Consider the following 26,350-nt stretch of genomic DNA (forward strand, 5'->3'; position numbering starts at 1 on the left):
GGGATGTGTACAAGATAGCTGGCAATCAGAAAGCATGACCGTGTAGTAGGCAGAGGACCTGGCATGTGTAAAAGCGAGGAGGCAGAAGAGACAGGACATTAGCCATGACCTTTCAGTAGTGCAGTGTTGCAAGAGGACACCTCTGCTGTGGTGTGGAGAAGAGGTGAGAAGCCAGGCCATGTATGCAGGAAGTGTGTCACAAAAGGCTTGGAAAGAAGATGATTTTATTCTGTAGGGGGCTAAAGAGCATTGAAAAATGCTTAGCAGGAAGGTGACAGACTTATGTCTGCTTTCAAAAGAAGCTCTGCTGTGAATGTGGAAAAGCAGAGAGCCTGGAGGCAGGAAGAGAGACAGGGAGAGGGCACAGGTACCTCAGGTGAGAGGCGACTCAGAGCCCCGCAGTGGGGATAGAGAGACGTGATTACAGGAGATGTTTTGGTGTTCACGTATGGGATGTAGCAGGAGAAGGAAGGGAATCTGCGCAGATTTCTGGTTTCATTGAGACACTTGAGAAGATGATGGTGTTGGTTATTCTGGTATAGAGAGTAGAGACAAAGTGGAGATGACCTAAATAGGGAGATTATTTGTGGGTTCAACACATTCATTTTTACAAATGCTCATTTTATGTTTCGTTTGTAGGGTTAGAGATTTAGAGTTTAGAATAAAATTACATAACTCAATTTCATTTTCAAAGTTCTGCAATCAAATAAGTATATCTAATATATGATTCTATATAAGTCTTGTTCATTCATAATGATGACCAGAAAGAAAGGAATAAATACATCATTTCTAACTTGGTGACTGCTGAAGACTTAAAAAAAAAGCTCACTCATGTTTCTGTCCTTCTCATGTGGCATTTTTAGGATCTGGTAATGATGCTCATGAACTAATTTGTTCCCTGACAGCATATGGCTGCCATCTAGGTGCTGCCACGGCGTTAATGCCGATGCGATTTAGGTCTCTGAGAAGATAACAAACCTAATTACTAATGCAAGGAGAGAGAACATCTTTCTCATTAATTCATTCCTAAAACCTTGCATTTAGTTTAATGTGATTGCTAATATGCAGTTTCAAGAATTAATATAAAAACCACCTGCATATGATGCTAATGGATTTTGCGAAGGTAGTAGGGTGATTTGTGAGATCAGGAGGTAACATGCAGGGGGTAAAAGAAACAGCTAGAACCACCTCAAAGTGTTTATGTCAGTCAGTCCTGTCGTTAATTGATGTCTGTAATCAGTTTGGTTCTATACAGGAAAATCACTATGAATTAAAACTAAGTCATTGCCACACCCTTCTTACACAGGATTTATTTCAATTTATAAAACGTGTCAAGTGCCTAGGACATACCAGGCATGTTTAAGGTGTTTGGGACACATCAAAGAACAAAAGAGACCAAAATCTTTGCATTTTTGATCTTCTAATTCACGGAGACAGACAATAGCCCAATAACTCAATAAATCCAATCTGTTAGAAGGTGTATGGACCAAAAAAAAAAAAAAAAAAAGAGTAAGCTGGGCAGGCAGACTGTCCTAATTAGACAAGTGGGCAGGGTAAACCTCACTGAGAAAATAAGATATAAGCAAATGCTGCAAGGAGCTGACTGAGTGAGCCTGTGGGAATCTGGGGTAGAAGTCTGCATGGCGGGGGTTCATGGAAGCTCTGTCAAACAGAAGGGAAGGAACGAAGATAATGCCAGCTTTTACCAGTGACCTCAGATACTCACTGCGCCTGAGAGGTTGTGGGGGCAGCTTTGCAGGGGTAATGATCTGGGTGTTTCTTCTTGCCTTCTGCCTCCACTTTCTACCACACAGTTGAATTCCATTGCTAGTGCCTGGCATTGGAGACTATTTTATGTCAATTTCCTGTCCTGTTTCAGGTTAGAGATGACAACAAGAGACAACACCCATGCCTGGTGGAGTTCTCCAAGCTGCCTGAACAGGAGCGCAATTACAACTTACAAATGTCGCTTGAGACCCTGAAGTGAGTTTCTTAACTTTTTCTATTTTCCAACCTGCCTTCCCTGAAAAAAAAAAAAAAAAAAAAAAAAACAGGTATTGATGCTATATGTTAATTGAGCTGTGAAGTGATTTTTAATTCCAGCTAGAACTTTTTATAATGCATAAGTGGATTGGATCAGTATTTGTTGAGAATAAGACTTTGACCCTGTTAATTTATGTCCTCTTGTTCTACATCAGTATTTTGCAAAGGGTGTCCTACAGGTGTATATGGGTATTATGGATGATGAGGATTTTGTGACCTGATAGGATACAGGTCCACAGAATGTGGGCTGTGGACCGGGACTGTGTCAGTCACAAATTGTTACTGGTTTGTGACTAAATAAGATATTAAGAGCAAGTGTTTATAAACTTCTATACCAATTTAGGGAAGCAATTTTACATATATTGAATCTAATGATTTAAGAAATGTGAGGTCATAGCCTGTATGTCTTCATTTTGAAAATTCAGTTTTCTCTAACAATTTTATTGTATTATATCAGGAAAAACCACAATAGACCAAATATTAAAAGAAAATTAGTTCTTCACCATAGGTAATTTGAGAAGCACTGATTTAATATATTTAAAAGATGCTAAATTCAAAGAGTTGAATAATTTAAAATTTTTTGCTGATGGACTTTTCAGAACTTTGGGGTGAAGTCTGTTTATGGTATTTCCTAAACTGATTTCACCATAGCAGCCTGTTTTCAGAGCATACCTATGAGGACTATTTATCTGAGCACCATATCTTTGGTTTTGTTTTAGTTTTTTAAGGAGCCAAAGTCAGCTGGGCATAGTGACTCGTGCTTATAATCCCAGCCCTTCGGAAGGCCAAGGCCAGTAGATGGCTTGAGCCCAGGAGTTTGAGACCATCCTGGGCTACATAGTGAGACCCCATGTCAACAAAAAATATGAAACTTATCTGGGCATAATGGCGCACACCTGAGTCCCAGCTACTTGGAGGCTGAGGTGGGAGGATGGATTGAGCCTGGGAGATTGAGGCTCCAGTGAGCTGTGATCACGCCACTGCACTCCAGCCTGGATGACAGAGCAGGACCCTGTCTCAAAAATGATAGTAATAAAAATAAATTTAAAAGGAGCCAGAGTCTTACTGTGTTGCCCAGGCTGGCGAGCAACGGCAATTCACAGGCTGGATCATGGCGCACTGCAGCCTGCAACTCCTGGGTTCAGGTGATTCTCTGGCCCAGTCTGGGTATCTAGGACTACAGGAGCTTGCCACTGCATCCAGCCTGAGCACATATTTTGAGAAAAGCTACTGTAGAGTATTTTATATCACCCAGTAAAGGCAAATTTGCTTTTTAGTGATTGCTGCCAGTTGACCTCTTGACTTTGCCCCTTACCTTTGCAGACGGAATAATGGGACTGAAATGGAATAAAGGAAGGAATATAATTTCGAATTTTGATATAGAAAAGTAAAGAGAATATTTTTGCAAAGCCAGTAACTTTACTCTTGTCCTCCTTCCATCCTTGATGTCCTACAGAACTGGATTTGTTCCAATAGGTCACTTATCCTAATATGTTTTTATATTACGTACAAAACTCTAGTCCTTTTTGTTTGTTTCAGTTTTGTTAAGAGTAGTAAGGAGTTATTTCCACTGAAATTATTTTACCAGGGACCCGGAACATAAAATTTAAACCGCATTTCAAATTCTAGAATTTGGACTCGGGTATATAGTCATGAGCTGCCTAACAGTGTTTGACTCAATGATGGACTGCATATATGATGGTGGCCATGAGATTATAATGGAGCTGAAAAATTCCTATAACTTATGACATCACAGTTGTCATAACATCCTAGTGCAACGCACTACCTTTTCTATATTTAGATACCCAAATACTTACCATTGTGTTACAGTTGTCTACAGTATTTGGTGAAGTAACATGTACAAGTTTGTAGCCTAGCAGCAATAGGCTATATCGTATAGCTTAGGTGTGTAGTAGGCTCTACGATCTAGGTTTGTACGAATATACTCTATAATGTTCACATAATGATGAAAACACCTAAAGACCCATTTCTCAGAGTATATCCCCATTGTTAAGTGATGTATAACTCTATATCCTCAAGGATGCAGATTATCATGTAAATAAACACATTAGGCATAAGATTGAGCTTAGGGTCTACTAGGAACTTAAAAGAAAAAGCAATATATACACATCAAGTAAATTGAGAACCTAAAGGTTAAAAATGACAAGGTTTGCTTGTAATAAAGAATGCATAACGAGCCCTGTGTCCTGAGTACGTGGATTCAGCATCTCTGATCTTCCTTTGCGCTCTTGACATGAGGCTTGTATATTTAGCTTAGTAATTCATAGCAGCTCATTATTTCTTCATCTTTTACAACAGAATGTTTTATTGAAAGGTCAAGGTCTAACATAATTTAAATTTGCAGTGCATTCCCTATTATTTTAGCAATTGACAGCTAAGCCAGCTATAGCAGAGAGTAAATTCTGGACTGTAGAAATCTCTGTATTTGCATTTAGCATGTTGTGCCTTTGACTATTACATGTAATCCAGTGTCATACCTACCAGCTGCTGGTGGCTGATTTGGTTAATCTTCAGACTGCACGTACTGTGGTTTTATTCTCTCTGATGAATGTAAATCACCCTCTTCACAAGCAAATGCTTAACATTTCTTTGTTGATTTTCTTATAGCTAGTTTATATGGTTTTATGATGGACTGATTTTTATTTATTTATTTACAAATTGAATTAGGGGAAAACATCTGTACTTCTCTAAGATTCATACCATGCCCAATTCCAAGGGTTTAGAGAAAGTACAGTACTTTCTTCCTATATTTCCTTTATTCACTTATTTAATTGGCAGGCCCCAGAGCAGCGTAGCTAAGAACACAGACTCTGGAGTTGGGTCATCTGGACTTAAGGGCTTGGTCCACCGAGGAAATGTTGCTGGAGTCACTCAACTCCTCTGAACCCTAGGTTTTCTTCTCCTTAGTAGAATGAGGATCATAATGTATTTGCTTCATGGAATTATTATAGGGACTAACTAATAGGATATTGATAAAGGCTTTAACACCATATGTCTGAGAGGGAGCATAGTCTAGGTTTTTTGTTTGTTTAATAAATATATCATGGGAGGGATGAACAGCTTCATTTGTTTACATCTTTAGAAGTTCCAAGTAACAAATAAGCAAGAAATTATTCCAGAATATCCCTTATTTTGGGTTGAGGAGCAATTTAATGAAATATGAATTTTGGGTGCTGTTTCTGTGATTTTTTTCTTATGTAAATTGTTGACAGTGACAACTTACTTTAGACTTCCATCGTCATCTGTGTATCGTACGGTACTGCGAAATTGTGACACTCTCAGAACAGCACAGCTTGGCAGATCATGCCTGCCAGATGACCCTCAAATGTGACCAGTGTTACCAAAGGTTCAGTTTCTGGTTTAGTTTTTACTATTTTCCGAATTCCAGATCTTAATTTCTGAATAAACAGCTCACGTTTTAGAAATAATTGATATAAGGATTTTTAATCGACATGTAATACACATTCATAGAATTTATTTCTTTGGAAGTTAACAAAAATATAGTGACACTACAATGATATTTTTCCTCCTAGCCAAGTATTTTTCCTGAAAATTATTTTTAGATGATGTAGTGTGCTTGTGCACGTATGTGGTGAAGGATGGGAGGAATAGTAGGGACCCAGGACACAGGGATGGAGAGGAAAGCAGTATGGAAGGGAGACAAATAACTGATAAGGGGAGAGGTGGAATTTTTGTCCAAGAGAGCAAGTTAGTTTCTCATACCTCTTTTCCTCCTCCTCCTCCCCCTCCCTCCCCTCCCTCCATCACCCACCCCTTCCCTCCCCTTCCCCTCCCTTTTTTTCCTTCCTTCCTTCCTTCCTTCCCTCCCCTCCTTCTCCTTCTTCTCTTCCTCCTTCTTTCTCCTTCCCCTTCTTCCTCTTCTTCTCCTCCTCCTTCCTCTTCTCCTTCCCCTACTTCCTCTTCTCCTCCTTCTCCTCCTCCTCCCTCTTCTCTTCCTCCCTCTTCTCCTCCTCCCTCTTCTTCTCTTCTCTCTTCTTTTCCTTCCTCTTCTCCTCCTCCCTCTTCTCCTTCTCCCTCTTCTCCCTCTCCCTCTTCTCCTTCTTCCTCTTCTCCTTGCTCTTCTCCTTCTCGCTCTTCTCCTTCTTCTCCTCCCTCTTCTTTTTTCTCTTCTTCTTCTTCTCTTTATCTTTCTCCTCCTTTTTCTGTCTCTTCCTCCTCCTCCTCCTCTTCTTTTTTCTCTTTGGTTTCTTGCTGGCAACAATCTTCCCAACTTACTTACTTATTTATTTGTTTGTTTGAAGGAGTCTCGCTCTGTTGCCTAGGCTGGAGTGCAGTTACGCGATCTCAGCTCACTGCAACCTCTGCCTCCCAGATTCAAGTGATTCTCCTGCCTCAGCCTCCCGAGTAGCTGGGATTACAGGCACCTGCCACCACCTCTGGTTAATTTTTCTTTCGTATTTTTTTTTGTAGAGATGGGGTTTCGCCATCTTGGCCAGGCTGGTCTCAAACCCCTGGCCTCAGGTGATCCACCCGCCTCAGCCTCTCAGAATGCTGGGATTGCAGGCGTGAGCCACTGTGCCTGGCCAATCTTCCCAAGTTCTAAATGTTGTGAATCTTTATGTTCAGTCCTGGGCCATTTCTTCTCAGTGTGCAAGCTCTCTGAAGGTATTCTCACCACTCCACTCCGTGACTTAATTACCACACAGGTGCTGATACCTCCCCAAATATCCATCTCTACCCCAGACATCTGCTCTGAGTGACGGAATTGTTTGTCCTATCATTCCATTGACATTTTCCCCTGGATGCATCAGAAGTGACCTAGACCTATATAGCTTTATGTCCCCTGTATTTGCATTTAGGGTGTTGAGTCTTTCAACATGCCAGGCTATTCATCCTGCTACACATGCCAGGAACCTGGGAATCACCTTTGACTCTTCCCTTTGTTTCATTCCTACTTCTAGCCCATTATCAGGTCCCCCCAAGTATACGTCACTCTTCCTCCATCCTGCCTTTCCACAGCAGTCAGTCTGGTCCAAGCCACCATCATCTGTCACCCAGACTACCATAGCCATCTCCTAACTGGTCCTCCCACTTGCCGTCTTTATTCTGCACACAGCAGCCTGAGTTCATACACACACGTGCATTCATTCATATTTTGCTTAAAACTGTTCAATGGCTTCCCATGGAACTTGGAGTCTGATATCTTCACAAGTGTGTGCATGGCCCAGACAATCTGACACCCCTCCTGTTTGTCATCATGCCTTGCACCACTCTTTGCCTTGTTCCTTATGTTCCAGCCCTCATGGTCTCTTCCTGATAATGAGTTAAACTTTTTCCTGCCTCACTATTCTGTTCCCTTTGCCTGGAAAATTCTTCATTTCACCCTTAAAGGATCTCCTCCCTACTCATCCCTCAGGCCTTCATTTAAATATCACTTCCCTGATAAGAATTTCCTCACCACTTCCTTCACTTCCTTTATAACACCTGATAGTGTGTTTATAACTCACCACAATTTGTAATATCACTTTCTGAGGTTATTTAATATTTGCCTTTCCTTCTAGACCAGGGGTGTCCAATCTTTTTGCTTCCCTGGGCCACATTGGAAGAATTATCTTGGGCCACACACAAAATACACTAACACTAATGATAGCTGATGAACTAAAACACAAATCACAAAAAGATCTCATAATGTTTTAGGAAAGTTTATGAATTTGTGTTGGGCCACATTCAAAGCCATCCTGGGCTGTGGGCTGGAAAAGCTTGTTCTAGACTGTAAGCTCCATGAAGCCAGGAACTATAATTAAAAAAAAAAAAGGTTTTATTTTTTAGAGCAGATTTAGGTTCTCAGCAAAGTTAAAAGAAAGATACAGAGACTTTTCTTATGCCCCCTGTTTCCACAGGCAACTGCCCTCAACAGAGTGGTACATTTATAACAATTGATAAACCTACATTGACACATCATTATCACCCAAAGTCCACAGCATGATTTTTTTTTTAAATTCACAATCATGTACCTAGTCCTCAAAAGGTATCCAGCGCATAACATTCTCAGATGCCAACTTGCTTAGATATTGCAAATGTACCTCAAACTTTGTGACTTTTTTATACCTTCAAATCTCAGGCTCCTTTCAGTGTCCTTCTCTTGTTGTGTTAAGTGCCCCTCAGAACACAACTCAGATATCTGGGAGTCATCCTGGACACATCCCTTCCCTTCACCCATGGCTTTCTATTGATATGTTAATCTATCGACTTCTTTATTTTCTTCCATTATTAATGTTACTATCACCACATCATCAACTCCAACATGATTGCCACCCTATGCTAACCTAGTCTAAGCTACCATTGTTTCCCACCTGAAATTATAATATCCTCCCAACAGATCCAATTGAAATACACCCTAGATACTCTCTTTTCTATTGTTTTTTTTTGCCTTTTTAAAAATTGTACAAATTTACAGGGTACATGTGCAATTTTGTTACATGCATAAAGTAACAAAAGTCAAGACTTTGAGGGTATCCATCACCCAGTTAATGTATATTGCACCCATTACGTAATTTCTCATCATCTACTCCCTTCCAATCCCCTCACTCTTCCAAGTCTCCATGAATTGTCATTCTACTCTCTATGTCCATGTGTGCACATTTTTTTAACACCCACTTGTGAATGAGAACATGGGTATTTGCCTTTCTGGGTCTAGCTTATTTCAGTTAAAATAATGACCCCAGTTCTAATCATGTTGCTACAAAATACATGATTTCATTCTTCTTTACTGCTGAATAATAGTCCATTATGTATATATGCCACATTTTCTTTATCCATTCATCCATTGATGGACACTTAGGTTCCTTCCATTTCTTTGCTGATGTGAATAGTGCCGCAATAAACATGCAAGTGCAGATGTCTTTTTGATATATGGATTTCTTTTCCTTCGGGTAGATATCCAATAGTAGGATTACTGGATCGAATGGTAGTTTTATTTTTAGTTCCTTGACAAGTTTCTATACTATTTTTTCATAGAGGCTGTACTAATTTACATTCCCACCAACAGTGCATAAGAGTTCCCTTTTCTCTGCATCCTCGCCAACATCTGTTTTTTTGTTTGTTTGTTTGCATTTTTAAGAATAGCCATTCTGACTGGTGTAGGATGACATCCCACCTGGGTTTTAGTTTGCATTTCTCTGATGATTAGTGATGTTCAGCATTTTCTCATATACCTGTTAGCCATTTGTATGTCTTATTTTGAAAAATGTCTATTCATTTCCTTTGCCCAGTTTTTAAGGAGACTATTTGATGCTTTTCTTGTTGTTGAATTGTTTGTTTCTTGCATATTCTGGATGAATGAGTAGTTTGATGTCAGATGAATTCTTTGCAAATATTTTCTTGCATTCTGCAGGTAGTCTCTTCACTCTGTTGATTCTTTCTCTCACTGTGCAGAAGCTTATTAGTTTAAATAGGTCTTGTTTGTCTATTTTTGTTTTTGTTGCCTGGGTTTTTGACGTCTTAGTCATAAATTCTTTGCCTAGACAAATGTTCAGAAGAGTTTTCCCTAGATTTTCTTCTAGTATTTTTATAATTTTGAGTCTTTTGTTTAAGTCTTAACCCATCTTGAGTTGATTTTTGTACATGGTGAGAGATAGGGGACCAGTTTTACTCTTCTGCATATGGCCATCCAGTTTTCCCAGCAACATGTATTGAAGAGTGTATCCTTTCTCCAATGTATGCTCTTGTTGGCTTTGTGAAAGCCAACAAATATGGCTGTAAGTATGTAGCTTTATTTCTGGGTTCTCTATTCTGTTCCATTGATCTATTCATCTGTTTTTCTACCAGTACCATGCTGTGTTGGTTACTATAGCCTTATAATAGAATTTGAAGTCAGGTAATATGATGCCTCCTTTTATTTACCCCTCAGGATTGCTTTGGCTATTTGGACTCTTTCTTGTTCCATTTGAATTTTAGGATTGTTTTTCCCTAATTCTGTGAAAAATGACATTGGCATTTTGATATGAGTTGCATTGAATTTATGGATTGCTTTGGGCAATATTGTCATTTTAACAATACTGATTCTTCAGATTTTTGATCATGGGCTGTTTTTGTGTTTGTTTGCATCATCTATAATTTCTTTCATCATTGTTTTATAGTTTCTCTTGTACAGATCTTGTACACCTCCTTGGTTAAATATATTTTAATTAGGTATTTTAGGTATTTCAATGAGGTATTTTAATTTTTATGTGGATATTGTAAATAGGATTGCCTCCTTGATTTGTTTCTTAGTTAGATTGTTACTGGTCTATAGATATGCTACCAATTTTTGTACATTGATTTTACATGCTGCAACTTTACTGAATTCCATTTATCAAATAAGAGTTTTTTGTGGCATCTTTAGGTTTTCCTTGACATAAGATCAAATTGTCAGCAAACAAGGATAATTAGACTTCATTTTTTCCAGTTTAGATGCCATTTATTTCTTTCCATTGCCTAATTTCTCTCACTAGGCCTTTCAGTACTGTAATGAATAGGAGTGGTAAAAGTAAATATCCTTGTTTTGTTCCAGTTCTTACAGGGAAAGTTTTCAACTTTCCCCATTCAGCATAATGTTAGCTGTGAGATTGTTGTATATGGCCTTTATTATTTTGAGGTATGCTCCTTCTATCCCTTGTTTATGGAGAGTTCTTATTATGAAGCGATGCTGAATTTTATCAAATGCTTTTTCTGCACCTATTGAGATGCTCATATGGTATTTGTTGTTGGTTCAGTTTTTGCGACGTATCACATTTATTGATTTGCAGATGTTGAACCATCCTTGTGTCCCTGATAAAAACCCACTTAACTCCTGAAAACATGCAGCCTCCCTCCCAAGACTGAACCAGGAAGAAATTGAAAACCTGAACAGAGCAATAACAAGTAGCAAGACTGAATCAGTGGCCAGGTGCGGTGGCTCATGCCTGTAATCCCAGCACTTTGGGAGGCCAAGGTGGGTGGATCACTTGAGGTCAGGAGTTCCAGACCAGCCTGGCCAACATGGTGAAACCCCAACTTTATTAAAAATACAAAAATTAGCTGGGTGTGATGGTGCACACCAGTAATCCCAGCTACTCAAGGAGGCTGAGGCAGGAGAATTGCTTTAACCTGGGAGACAGAGTTTGCCATAAGCCGGGATTGTGCCACTGCACTCTAGCCTAGGTGACAGAGTGAGACTCTGTCTCCAAAAAAAAGGATTGAATCAGTAATAAAAATTGTCCCAACAATGAAAAGCCCAGGATCAGATGGATTTACAGATGAATTATACCTAACATACATAGAACTAATATCAATCCTCCTGAAACTGTTTCAAAAAGTCAAGGAGCAGGAAATTCTCCCTAACCGCTCTATGAAGCCAGTATCACCCTGGTACCAAAACCAGACAAAGGCACAACAAAAAAGAAAACTACAGACCAATATCCCTGATTAACATAGACACAACAGTCCTCAACAAAAATACCAGCAAACAAAATGCAATAGCACCTCTAGCTATTCTGTACTTTGTAGCCAGTGTGTTCATTTCAAACATTAAGGTGACCATGTCAATCTTTCTATTTAAAATCCCTTAATGGGGCCAGGCACGGTGGGTCACCTGAGGTCAGGTGAGCCTGTAATCTCAGCACTTTGGGAGGCCAAGGCAGGTGGATCATCTGAGGTCAGGAGTTCAAGAGCAGCCTGGCCAACATGGTGAAACCCTGTCTCTACTAAAATTATAAAAATTAGCCAAGCGTCATGGCAGGTGCCTGTAATCCCAGCTGCTCGGGAGGCTGAGGCAGGAGAATTGCTTGAACCCAGGAGGCAGAGGTTGCAGCGAGCCGAGATCATGCTGCTGCACTCCAGCCTGGGTGACAGAGCGAGACTCCATCTCAAAAAGAAAAAAAAAATTAAATACATAAAAAAAAATAAAATCCATTAATGGCTTTTCATTGCTTTTAAGTTAAATATGGTGCTTTAATTTGCCAAAGTATCCCAAAATCTGGGGCCTCCCCTCTCACCAGCCTCATTATAAGTGAGGCTGCCCTTGTACTCTTGCTTGCAGTCACACTGACCTTTGTGTTGCTTGCCTGTCCACACATTCCATTCCACCACAAGATCTTCCACACGTCCTCTTCTTGGAATGCTCTTTTCTTTTTTTATTATACTTTAAGTTTTAGGGTACATGTGTACAACGTGCAGGTTAAATATGTATACATGTGCCATGTTGGTGTGCTGCACCCATTAACTCGTCATTTAACATTAGCTATATCTCCTAATGCTATCCCTCCCCGCTCCCCCTACCCCACAACAGGCCCCAGGGTGTGATGTGGAATGCTGTTTTCTATGCCTGGCTCTCATCCTTTGGATCAGGGCTGTCCAATCTTCTGGCTTCCCTGGGCCATAGCAGAAAAAGAATTGTCTTGGGCCACACATAAAATACACTATAATACTAACAATAGCTGATGAGCTAAATTTTAAAAATCACACAAAGAAATCTCATAATATTTTAAGAAAGTTTATGAATTTGTGTTGGGCCACATTCAAAGAGCTGTCCTAGGCCGCATGTAGCCCGCAGGCTGCGTGTTGGACAAGCTTGCCAGATCTAAGGTCAGGTTCACTTCTTTCGAACATGTTGTCTGAGTTCCTTGACTCAACAATTTTACTTCTATAGGTACTCATCCTTTCTGTACTCCCAGTATAGAAGCTTTCCCTGTGTGTGGGAATTACATGGTTGCCTCTGTACTCCACCGACCATATGTTTCATGACAGCAGGCATCTCACTTGATTTTTGTTACCATTTTTCAAATTTTACTTAGAGCTCAGTAAATATTCATCAAATGAATGAATTAATAAATAAATGATAAATCTCAGTCAGTAACTGGGTTTTTACATACCAAATGCCTACCTACAGGGTGCCTCACATTTGCTTCCTAACAGTCTGTTTACTTTTCTGCAGCTATATAGTTTAAGTACTAAAATGCTACATTACCAATCCCTACTGCTTAATCTAGTAGTAAATATTTACTGAATGCATGTAAGGCCAAGAACCTGCTCCCAACTAATCCTTTCTTGCTTCCCTTATTTTGTGCTTTTCTAGCCTTTCTATCAGCTTTGCAGTTCCAACTTATAGTGTGCTGTTTCTCTCACCACCCTTCAGCAGACTTAAAAAAAAAATGAGTTAAACAATGTTAAATCATCAAATAAAGTGGTTCAATAAAGATGATACAGAAACCAAACACTTCATTCAAACAAAGAACTTGATATGGTTGTAGTGTTAATAAATATATTTTAAATATAATCCATTGCTCCCATTTTAAAACCTCCTAGGATTGGGCAAAGAGTACTTAGATACAATATCCAAAACATGACCTATTAAAGAAAACAGTCCATCCATTGGAGTTAATTAAAAGTAAAACTTTCTGTACTTCAAAAGAAGCCATTAAGAAAATGAAGAGACAGGCCACCAGCTGGGAGAGAATATTTGTGAATCAAGCACAATTGTATTAATAGGATTTGTAGTAAATCATACCAATCCTAACAAAGGACTTGTATCCAGAATATATATAGAAATCTTATAACTCAATAATAAGAATACACAAAACCTGATTTAAAAATTGGCAAAACAGCTGGGCATGGTGGCTCACGCCTATAATTCCAGCACTTTGGGAGGCTGAGTTGGGTGGCTCACTTGAGGTCTGAAGTTAGAAACCAGCCTGGCCAACATGGTGAAACTCCATCTCTACTAAAAATACAAAAAAAGTAGCTGCACGTGGTGGCAGGCGCCTGTAATCCCAGCTACTAGGGAGACTGAGGCAGGAGAATTGCTTGAACCTGGGAGGAAGTGGTTGCCGTGAGCCGAGATTATGCCACTGTCCTCCTGCCTGGGTGGCAGAGCAAGATTCTGTCTCAAAAAAAAAAAAGGCAAAAATTGGCAAAATACTTTACCAAAGAAGATACACAGATGGCTAATAAAGTGCAATCAAGGATGTTACACATCATCAGTCAGAAAAATACAAATTAAAACCATAAGAAGATACTACCTTACACACAATAAAATGGCTATAATTTTTGACAGACATACCAAGTGTTGGTGAAGCTATAGGAAAACTGAAACCCACATGTATTACTGCAGGCAATGTAAAATGGTGCCACCACTTTGGAAAATAGTTTGGAAGTTTCTTAAAAAGTTAAACATAAACTTACCATAGCCTAGCAATTCTACTCCTATGTATCTACTCAAGAGAAATAAAAGCTTATGTCCCTGCAAAGATTTACACGTAAATGTTCACAGAAGCATTATTCATAAGAGCCAAAAACTGGAAACTGTGCAAATGTTCATCAACTAAGGAATAGATAAAATGTGATCCAGTATTACAATGGCATATTATTCAGCAATAAAAGGAAACAAACTACTGCCACAGACTCCAACATGGATCAACCTGAAAAACTTTATGCCAGGTGGAAGGAGCCAAACACAGAAGACTCCATATTGTGTAATTCTATTCCTATGAAATGCCCAAAACAGGCATATTGATAGAGACATAAAGTAGCTTAGGGGCTGTCTGGAGGTGAGAGTGAGAAACGCCTGCAGCAGGCATGGGGGACCTCATGGGCTCGTGGAAATGGTGCAAAGCTAGATTGTGCTGATAGTCATGCAACTCTATAAATTTAATAAAAATGAAAATAATCAGCCTCTAAAAAGTACATTTTCTACCTGATGACTTCTAACTTTGCTATTCTGCAGAATAACCTTTAGCAGCTCCTAGTCCATTCACATAAGTGTAATTCCCTCAGCATAGCATATGAGGCCCTCACTTAATGTCTTAATCAGGGTTCTTGAGATAAACAGAACCAACAGGGTGTATGTATGTGTGTGTGTGTATATATACATATATATATAGACATATATGTATATACAGATATATATAGAGAGAGATTCCTTAAAGAATTGGCAGGGTGCTGGCAAAATTCCCTTTTGCTCAGAAGGTCAGTCTCTTTTTTCTGTTGAGACCTTTCACTGATTAGTTGAGGCCCAGTCACATTATGGAAGGTAGTCTGATTTACTTAAAGTGCACTATACTTTTTTAAAAAGTTTAGTATTTAATTTTAGAATCAGAGGGTACATGTGCGTGTTTGTAACATAGGTATATTGCTATGTACAGAGATACATAGGAATTTACCTATGTGCGTTGTTACATAGGTATAATGGTGGGAATTTAGATTCTAATGAACCCATTACCTAAATAGTCAACATTGTACTTGACAGGTAATTTTTCAACACTAGCTCCCCTCCTGCTCTCCTTGCTTTGAAGTCCCTACTATCTATTATTTCTGTCTTTATATCTGTGTGTATCCACTTTGCTTGGCCCCCACTTACAAGTGAGAGTATGAAGTATTTAATTTTCTTTTAAATGATGAGGATAATGGCCTCCAACTTTATCCATGTTGCTGCAAGAAGGACATGATTTCATTCTTTTTCGTGGCTGTATAGTTTTCCATGGTGTATATGTACCATATTTTCTTTTTGCAGTCAACAGTTGACAGACACTTAAGTTGATTCCGTGACTTTGCTATTGTAAATAGTGCCGCAATGAACATGTGAGTGCAGGTGTTTTTTTTGTTTGTTTGTTTTTTGTTTTTTTGACAGAGTCTTGCTCTGTTGCCTAGGTTGGAGTGCAGTGGCATGATCTCGGCTGACTGAAACTTCTGCTTCCCAGGTTCAAGCAATTCTCCTGCCACAGCCTCCCAAGTAGCTGGGATTACAGGTGTCCACCACCACGCCTGGCTAATTTTTGTAGTTTTAGTAGAGACGGGGTTTCACCATGTTGTTCAGGCTGGTCTCAAACGCGTGACCTGATAATGATTTCTTGGACAGATGCGGTGGCTCACTCCTGTAATCCCAGCACTGTGGGAGGCCAAGGCCGGTGAATCACCTGAGGTCAGATGTTTGAGACCAGCCTGGCCAACATGGTGCAAACCCATCTCTACTAAAAATACAAAAATTAGCTGGGTATGGTGGTGAGCACCTGTAACCTCAGCTACTTTGGAGACTGGGGCAGTAGAATTGCTTGAACCCGGGAGGCGGAGGTTGCAGTGAGCCGAGATTGCACCATTGCACTCCAGCCTGGGTGACAAGAGCAAAACTCCTCAAAAAAAAAAAATAATAATAATAAATATAATGATTTCTTTTCCTTTGGGTAGGTATCCAGTTGTGGGATTGCAGGGCTGAATGGTAGTTCTATTTTTAGTTTTTGGAGAAATATTCATGCTGTTTCCCAAAGGGGTTGAACTAATTTATGTTCCTACTAACAGTGTATAAGCTACATCCTCACCCACATCTTTTATTTTTTGACTTTTTAATAATAACCATTCTGACTGGTGTGAGATGGTATCTCATTGTGGTTTTAGTTTACATTTTTCTGATGATTGGTAATTCAGATCATTTTTTAATGTGTTTATTTGGCTGCTTGTATTTCCTCTTTTGAGAAATGTCTATTTATGTCCTTTTTTCTTTCTTTTCTTTTCTTTTTTTTTTCAGGACCAGAGTCTCACTCTGTAGCCCAGGCTGGAGTGCAGTGGTGGATCATAGGTCACTGCAGCCTTGATTTCCGAGACTCAGGCAAAATTTCTGCCTCAGCCTTTAGAGTAGCTGGGGCCACAGATGTGTGCCACCATGCCTGATTAAACTTTGAATTATGTGTAGAGACAGAGTCTCCCTATGTTACCCAGACTGGTCTTGAACTCCTGGGCTCAAGCAGTCCTCCTGCCTCGGCCTCCCAAAGTACTGGAATTATAGGCATGAACCACCATGCCTGACCCTTTGGCCGGTTTTTAATACAGTTGTTTGTTTTTTTCCTGTTGAGTTGTTTAAGTTCTGTGTGGATTCTGGATATTAGTCCTTCATTGGGGGCATAATTTGAAGATACTTTCTCCCATTCTGTAGGTTGTCTATTTACTCTGTAGATTATTTTGCTGTGCAGATGCTTTTTAGTTTGATTAAGTCCCATTTGTCTATTTTTGTTTTTGATGCATTTGCTTCTGGGATCTTTATCATAAACTCTACCTAGGCCAATGTCCAGAAGAGTTTTTTCTAGGTTTTCTTCTAGGTCTTACATTTATATCTTTAATCCATCTTGAGTTAATTTTTGTACATGGTGAGAGATAGAGGTGCAATTTCATTCTTCCGCATATGGCTAGCCATTTTTTCCAGCACCATTTATTGAAGAGGTTGTCATTTCTCCAGTGTTTATTTTTGTTAACTTTGTCAAAGATCAGTTGGTTGTAGGTATGTGGCTTTATTTTTGGGTTCTGTATTCCATTCCATTGATCTATGTGTCTAATTTTGTACCATTACCATGCTGTTATAGTTACTATATCCTTATATATAAGTCAGGCAATGTGATGCCTCTGGATTTGTTCATTTTGCTTAGGATTGCCTTGGCTATTCGGACTCTTTTTTGATTCCATGTGAACTCAAAGTGTAGCAATTTAAATGTTAATCTCACCCAAAAACAGCTTCACAGAAACATCTGGAATAATGTTTGACTAAATGTGTTGGCACTATGCCCCAGCCAAGTTGATACATAAAATTAGCCATCACACATAATGAGAAATATTTATGAAGCATATAGTGCACCCCAAACTTACCCCAGTATTTCTTTTTACCCTTAACCTATAGTACACGGTCAGATCTTAATACTCCAGTCAACCCTTCTCTGCCCCTCCCACACAGACCCACGATCTCCTGCTTCTGTAGGTTGTCTGTCTTATTCACCTACCTGAAATATTTGCCTCTTCATCTCTTTATCCTTTATTCCCACATGTCTTCATCTTTGAAATGTTTAATTATCCTTCTTGGAATATCTTAAAGATGCTTCTAAAACATGTAACTTTTTAAAATGTGGAACCCTACTTGGTTTTATTATAATTCTTCAGTCATCATCTTTTCTCCTATCAGACTGTAAACGCTGTCAAGAGAAACATGTGCAGTAGTACTCCTGAAAATATCAAATGGAAAACTTTAGAAATAAACAATGTATAAGTTTTAGATTGCATGCCATTTTGAGCAGTGTGATGAAATCTCACGCCCTGCTACTTTGTCCTGCCCAGGATGCGAATCATCGCTTTGTCCCCCTGGCCCATGCTGTATAGGCTGCCTACCTGTTAGTCACTTAGCAACCATCTTGGTTATCAGCTTGATTGTCATGACACTGTAGTGCTTTTGTTCAAGTAACCCTTATTTTATTTAATAATGGCCCCAATGCACAAAATTAAAGATGCTGGCAATTTGAATATGTCAAAGAGAAGCCATAAAGTGCTTCTTTTAAGTGAAAAGGTGAATATTCTCAACTTAATAAGGGAAGAAAAATACTGTATACTGAAGTTGCTAAGATCTATAAAAACAACAATTCTTCTGTCTGTGAAATTGTGAGCAGTATGTTGTTATAATAGTTCTATTTTCTATTAGTTACTAGTTTTAATCCCTTACTGTGTCTAATTCATATGTTAAATTTTAGTATGTATCATAGTATGTATGGATAGGAAAAAGTATAGGGTTTGGTACTATCTGTGGGGTTCAGGCATCCACTGGGAGTCCTGGAACATATCAGCCATGGATAAGGGAGGACTACTGTACTACAGAGTACCTTAGATATGGTGGTAACTCAATAAATATTTATGGACTTATATATTTATGCACATGTGGTCTATTATGTTCACTGTCCGTGTGAGTTGAATTCATACTTTTCTAGGTAGTTTGCATTGGGAAGAAGATTATGAGGCTGAATTAATTAGTTATGAGAAGATTATAGTATTGATGGCATAAAACACTGGCTCTCTCTCAGAAGCCCTTAAGGATGAATTAACTAATTACATTTTCTATGGCTCAGGCTTACTTTTGATGTCAGTACACCATGTGACTTTGTCTCTCGGTCTGGACTCACATTAACTACATTCCTGGCATGTCACACTGAGGTACTGATTTGCAGTGATAATAACTGTCTTATAATCCAAAATATTCATTTTTACAGATCAGCTTGGGAAGACACATTATCATCAGAAGATTTCTTGGTGGGCATGTGCTCAAAGGTTTAATTGCCTGAGTTTATGGTAAATCCTAATATTATGATCAATCTTGAGTTCTCTCAGAGCTGGGTTGGACATCCCTCTTTGATACTTTTACAGCCTTGTGATTACCTCATTGCCCTGAAGATACTATCATAATTGCCTGTTGTCTGTAGCACAGGGCCTTGCACATGATAGCACTCAGTAGATATTTACTGAATGAATAAATAAAGGAATGGAGGGTGCTGGTAAAATCTTCCTGTCCTCTGGATAGTGTCTGAATAAGTGTAATCTATATTTGTTCCTGTGAGTTCGTTTTTTATTTTATTGCTGATCAATCCCTTTCAACGTGCACATTCTTTATTCAGCTTATTTTGTACCTTCAATCAGCTCTTGGTCTTCCCATAGTTTTGCAATTTAACGCTAGAAAGATAATTTCATGGGGTTATTTTAATTTTTTCATATATAACAAAATTTAACTGATAATTGTGTGTGTATAGATGGATAGATACCCATATGTATAAGCTTATATGTATCTGTCTAAATGGTTAAGCTTATACATATAGATACTTGTCTATATGGAAATACATATATATAATGTACGTATATGTATATACATATAACCATCAACCTATCCACACATTATTAAAATATTATAGAGATAAGTATTATGGGTTTTAGATAATTCCCACATTCTTACTAGAACTGATCAGACCTTAGAAATTCTGTAATCCCAAAATATTATGCCGTTATTTCTTACTCTATCAAGGCAGGAGAAACCACTCAGTGCCGTGGGTACTAAAGACAAATTGTCTCAAAATGTCTCCTGTATATACGCATTTCTATAAAAGGTAAAACAATAATATCATACACACACACACACACACACACACACACACACACACACCACGTATATCTGCTTTAGTAGGTACATAGACTCCCCAGCAGGATATCGAAGAATTGTTAACAATTGATGCCTTTAGAGGAAGGAAACAGAATTAGAAGAAGTTGGAGGGAGACTTACTTTTCAGTGTATTCCTTTTTGTGCCATTTCAGTTCGCAGTGTCTTATCCCTTACTCAGAAATGAATAATTAGCAAATCAGTAAATGTTCCTTTCACCTTAAAAACAAGACTTCTGACTGGGCGCGGTGGCTCACACCTGTAATCCCAGCACTTTGGGAGGCCGAGATGGGTGGATCACGAGGTCAGGAGATCGAGACCATCCTGGCTAACACGGTGAAACCCCGTCTCTACTAAAAATACAAAAAATTAGCCGGGTGTGGTGGCGGGCACCTGTAGTCCTGGCTACTTGGGAGGTTGAGGCAGGAGAATGGCGTGAATCCGGGAGGCGGAGCTTGCAGTGAGCCGAGATCGCGCCACTGCACTCCAGCCTGGGCGACAGAGCGAGACTCCGTCTCAAAAAAAAAAAAAAATTGTGCTTTCAAGGTTGTATCTCATTGCTACTGCTGCTGTCTTGGGTTATTCTGGACATAGAGAAGAAATGATCACACTTATCTCTGGTTTTGTTTTCCAGGACTTTGTTGGCATTAGGATGTCATGTGGGTATATCAGATGAACATGCTGAAGACAAGGTGAAAAAAATGAAGCTACCCAAGAAGTAAGTTGAATGACTAAGCAATATTAAATAATCTGTGTAGAGATTTAGTGCAACCAAATAACTCTTGATGGACACACAGATGCCTTGCTTTTACTGAAGCTTTAAAATTCAGATTCAAGGCTGGGTGCGGTGGCTCACACCTTAATCCCAGCACTTTGGGAGGCCAAGGCAGGTGGATCACCTGAGGTCAGGAGTTCAAGACCAGCCTGGCCAACATGGTGAAACCCTGTCTCCATTAAAAATACAAAAATTAGCTGGGCGTGGTGGCAAGTGCCTGTAATCCCAGCTACTCGGGAGGCTGAGACAGGAGAATCGCTTGAACTTGGGAGGCAGAGGCTGCAGTGAGTCAAGATCGTGCCACTGCACTCCAGCCTGGGCAACAGAGTGAGACTCCATCTCAAAAAAAAAAAAATTCAGATTCAAAAATTTAAACTAACTGAATGACCCTAGGGGTTACATTAAGTATCTGGTGAAACAATAGTTTCTATCACATTGCTGAGTGATGAAACAAAGCTCAGAATATATTTGGGAGTGTGTTATAAAAATTGTGTTATTTTCCCAGTGTGTGTTTATATGTTAACAGAGGTATCCATATTTCTAAATGATTACATATAGCTTTCTACTTTCTGCCCAAAAATCTTTATAATTTTATTTACTTTTACAATAAAAATATATTCGAGGATTAATTATGAAGTCAGCATTATTATCCACATTTTAAGATGAGAAAATTGAGGTAGATAGATGCTGTAGTACTGGTTTGGCCTGCTGTTCTATGACCTATGTTTGTGATCCTGGTTCACTTAAGACCTCACCTTTCTCATCTGCCTGTGGGCATTAGTAATACCTACTTAACAGGGAAGTTTTAGGTATTAAAGAAATATTCAATAAATGATAGCTGTTTCATATTACTTTCTTATTTATTTAAACTTAAGTATTCAAGCTGCTTTTCTGATGTGCAGGACTTGTAAGTAGCAGGCCTGTAGATGTATTAAATAATAGCATCGAGATATAATCAAAGTAGCCACCCCATAATCTCTATCAGTCACCTCAGGCCTCATGTTACCCCAGAAAAACATAAAATCCAAGTAGAAATTGTGCTTTTGCTGTGCAAATGCAGATTTAAGCAAGTCTCTAGTTCAACAGTCTATGAACATTTTTACTCAGGTGCTCCATAAGTGAGTTTATAAAAACTGTATTGTTACCTCGTGCAGTTTTAGGTTCTAAAATTTTTCTTGAAAATTTAAATAGTTCCAAAAGATGTGTTTTATGGGTACATTTTGCATATTTACATTTCAAAATGACACTTTTTCATCAACTTTGAGTGTATCTTATGAGCACAGACCACAGTGTTCAGATATCTGCCATCATCTGTGTAAAAATGATATAAAAATGTTGATAATGGAGAATTTTACATTATTTCATTTTCCTTTTTCAACTGTATTTTCAAATTATTTCTCCTACTGTATATTATGCTAATAATCAATGTTTTATGCTTGGCAGTCTTTGAGTACTCTATCCTACATTATAAGTAAGATATGTATCTAAATTGAATTTTTAATTGTTTTTGTTTTCTGCGATCATAGTCATTAAGTTAAAATTTTCCTCCTGAGTTATCATTATATTATTTTAGTACACAGGTGCTCAAAACAACATAAATTGTTTTTAATAAAAAGTCATAGAAAATAGGATGTTATTGGAAATAGCTCATAGTAAGATGGATTTAGGTATTCTTTATCCAATTACATTATGTATTCACGTACAAATAATATTTATTGATAGAGTCAAGTTGGCAGAGTGGTTGCATTCTTCGTTCACATAAATAATTTTTGTTATTAAAAAGATCATTGAGTTAAGTTAACCAAAAACCATAATTGTTTATTATGAAAAATCATATTTAATGATTTTTTTCAGGGTGACAGCTCAATTATGCCTTTGTTCAGTTTCTTGAAAGCCAAAAATTGGAATCTACCTAACTTCCAAAAGAATTCATTATCCTCTCATTTTCATTATCCTCATCCTTTCCAAACCACTCTCAGGTTTTTTGGAAAGTATCCAAAAAAGGCATTATTAAGGCTAAAACAGAACAAAACCAAAAACCAAAAAACAACAACCTAGTAATTATACCTGTTACTCTTTTACTCAGAAGAATAAGAAAGTAGAAATGTTAATTTCACATTATCTTTGACAGCATAATACATTTAATCAATTGTATCAAATGCTATGCGTGAGTGTGTGTGCATGTGTGTGTATGTATTTGGGATACAATTCAACTTATTTCATGTATAGATTCTATCTGTTATAAAATCTAATTGATAAAGGCAGTTTTCACTGACAAAACAATCAGCTAAAACAGAATTATCTTTTGTCAAAAATATCTGGTTGTATTTTTCTGTTGAAACAAATGGGTTAATACATGTCCCCATGACAATCATCTCAATTCCAATTTCTAACTTTAAGATAGGTAGATGATAGATTGATAGCTAGATGATAGACAGATAGATGGATGGGGCACAGGGTTTAAAAATAAGTTTGTCTCATTGAGGAACTAATGTCCTCTGCCTTGAGTATTTATTAATGCATATTCCTTGTGTTGCTCTCACAACGCAACACAGCAATTATTTGAGAGTGGGTGAAGATATGGAAAAGCTGAGACCCTTAAATGAAAACTATACTTGGATCTGCTGACAGTCTATATACTGTCTCTAAATTTTCCATGAGATATCATTTTATTCTTTCTCTATTGACAAAAATCTTCATAATAACTGGTATTGATATGTATGCAGATCAGCGCGAGCCTAAAATGTTGGGGTTTTTTAACAACCATTTTGCAAGCAATTTGGCATCATTGTGTAAAATTGAACATTTGCACGTCTTGGTACCCAACAGTTCCACTCATAGAGATATACCCTAGAGACAGTTCGCACCGACGAGCAGGCAAACTATCATTCATAGCAATGTTATTTGGAATAGCTAAAGAATAAGGGGGTAGTTATAGGAGGTGGAAGAAATATTCTTCAATAAGAAAATGAATCAAGTTGGCTATAGTCTAATAATAAAATCACGGAATTATAAATGACACCATAGATGAACCTAAAAAATAATAAGGGTGTAAAAAACATTCTACAAGGGTGATGCAATGTAAAACCATCTTTGAGGCTCAAAAGCAAGTAAAACTAAAAAATAAAAACTAAATACATATTTTGGAGATACATACTTCGATAAGGACTGACTTTTAAAAATCAATGAAATTATAATTCTAGATAGTAATTATCTTTGGTATAAATATAGGCAGGGATGTAAGATGGGGAGCAACACACAGATAGATGTAATGTTAGTAATGTTCTAATTGTTAACTTCGTGGTGGATTAATGAAGTTAATTTTATTATAATGCTTTGAAGCATATACTTTTGTAGTTATTTTATAATGATTTTTTAAAATAAAAATCTGATGACAGATGTAAATCCAGATACACCATTAGTCATAACAAATGTACATGGTTTAAATTCTCCATGTGCGTAACAGAAATTGTCAGATTGGATTCAAAAAGATAATTTATGATATACAGCTATAAGAGGTACATCAATAACTTTAGAACATAGAAAAGTTGAAAATAGTAAGAATGACACACTAGGCAATACTGCTCAAAATGAAACTGATGTACTCTCCTTTTATCAGTTTCTAAATAAAATTGACCTTAAACAAAATTAATATTAAGAAAAGAAGGCCACTATATGGAGAATTGAGAAAACAAGCATCATGCTATAACTACTCATGTATACACCAAGTAAAACAGCTTCAAAAATCAATGAAGAAAAATACTAGTAGATTTTCAAAAAGAAATAGACAAATATGCAATCACAGTGATAGACCTAACACAAATCTCAGAAACTGATATGTGTAACAGATAAATGTTAACAAAGATTAATAAAAATATAAACACACACCAATTAAAAGCTTGACATATATAGAGTGCTGCATGCATGAAACATTTATAAAATTTAGTATCCTTTAGGACATTAGACACTGATATCGTAAAGATCATATCCACTGGATCACAAAGAATAACAGCAAAAATAACAAATCATGACACACTTAGACATTTAAAAATATACTTCTAAATAGGTTATGGATCAAGCATATCATCTGGAAAATTATTTACTTATTTACCACTCTGCCTTTGTTTATTTCTAGTTAAAAAGATAACCCATATTTCTTGATCTTGCTAAATGAACCTATCCTTTTTTCATGCCTTTATACTCTTATAAATGGATGATTCAAAACCAGATTTTTAAAAAGCTTTTTAATATTTTGGTTTCATTTATTTTATTTTTTAGGTTGATGAATATGAATTGCCTATATTTATGGTATACCACATGATACTTTGAAATATGTATATGCTGTGGAATGGCTAAACCAAGCCAATTAATGTATTTATTACCTCACATAATCCCTTTTTATTTTGTGAGAACACTTAAAATCAAATCTCTTGGCAAGTTCAATATATAATACCTCATTATTAACTATATTAACCATGCTGTACAATAGATCTCTTGGATTTATACATCATGGAAATTGTAAAACAATAATGGAAAAGGAAAATATTTCATATTAAAACATGAATTGCATATATTAAGTATTACTTGGAGAAAGTAAAAGAAAATAAATTATAATAAGAGCAATATTAATGAATTTGGTGGGGGCGGGATGAAATATAAACACCAATGATGCCAAGAGCCTGTTTTAAAAACCTACTAAGCAGGGGAAAAAGACTCTGAAAAGATTGACAAAGGAAAAAGAAAAAACAATTTTGTTAGCAAACTTAGGAATATTTTGAAAAATGTAACAAATGTACATTAAAACTTTCTAAAGGTAAAAGTATGGACAATTGTATAGAATAATATCAAAACTGATCCAATAAGAAAGAAAATACGAATAGAGCTATAACTATTAAAGGAATTGAATCAAACACACATACACACACACACACACACACACACACACACACACGTCCCAAACAACTTTTCTATTGATTTCTACCAAATACAATCTCACATAAAGAGGAAGAAACACTTCACAGTTTATTTTCTGATGATATGATTTTCATATCAAAGCCCAGATCAAGACAGTATGGAAAAGGGAAGTTATAGTCCATTGCTATTATGAGCATAGATGCAAAAATGCTAAGGAACATACTGGCAAACAACTCAGTAGTGTATTAACAAAGTATAATATGACCAAGCTGAGTTTATCCTAGTAGTGAAAAGATAGGTTAACATTAGAAAATGTATCCATTAAATTGATGCTTAATAAAGACGAAAATTCATATGATCATCCCAATGTATTTAGAAATAAATAATTCATAAGATTTTTTTATTTATAAGCATATAAACTCTTAGAAGGCAATACTCTGAGAGATTTCTTTAACCTAACAAGGGGCAACAGAAACCAATAATCTATAAGGTAAAATCTCAAATTTTTCCTTTAAGGTTTAGGAATGAGACAATATAAGTCACTACTACTTGATGTATTCAATAAGGCCAGTGCAGTGAGACAAGAAAAAAATCATGAGGCTTGGAAAGGAAAAACACCAAATTGTCATCAATAGCAGGTAATATTGCATAGAAAACTCAGGAGAATTTACAGAATT

The 26,350-nt window shown here is 37.5% G+C and overlaps 1 protein-coding gene across 18 annotated transcripts in view; it reads left to right on the top strand.

Moving 5' to 3' along the window:
• RYR2 (ryanodine receptor 2) overlaps nt 1-26,350 on the top strand; it is a 791,805-nt gene that overhangs the window by 467,625 nt on the left and 297,830 nt on the right. For all 18 annotated transcript variants that reach the window (XR_007062490.1, XR_002957299.2, XM_006711802.4 and 15 more), the window contains 2 exons: nt 1,880-1,983; nt 20,619-20,702. Coding sequence is in view for 16 of the 18 variants with exons in the window: in XM_006711802.4 (XP_006711865.1) it covers nt 1,880-1,983; nt 20,619-20,702 (188 nt within the window). In the remaining 2 variants the exon portion in view is untranslated. The remainder of the gene's footprint in view (nt 1-1,879; nt 1,984-20,618; nt 20,703-26,350) is intronic.

This window comes from Homo sapiens, chromosome 1 (assembly GCF_000001405.40).
Source record: "Homo sapiens chromosome 1, GRCh38.p14 Primary Assembly".
Classification (NCBI taxonomy): domain Eukaryota; kingdom Metazoa; phylum Chordata; class Mammalia; order Primates; family Hominidae; genus Homo; species Homo sapiens.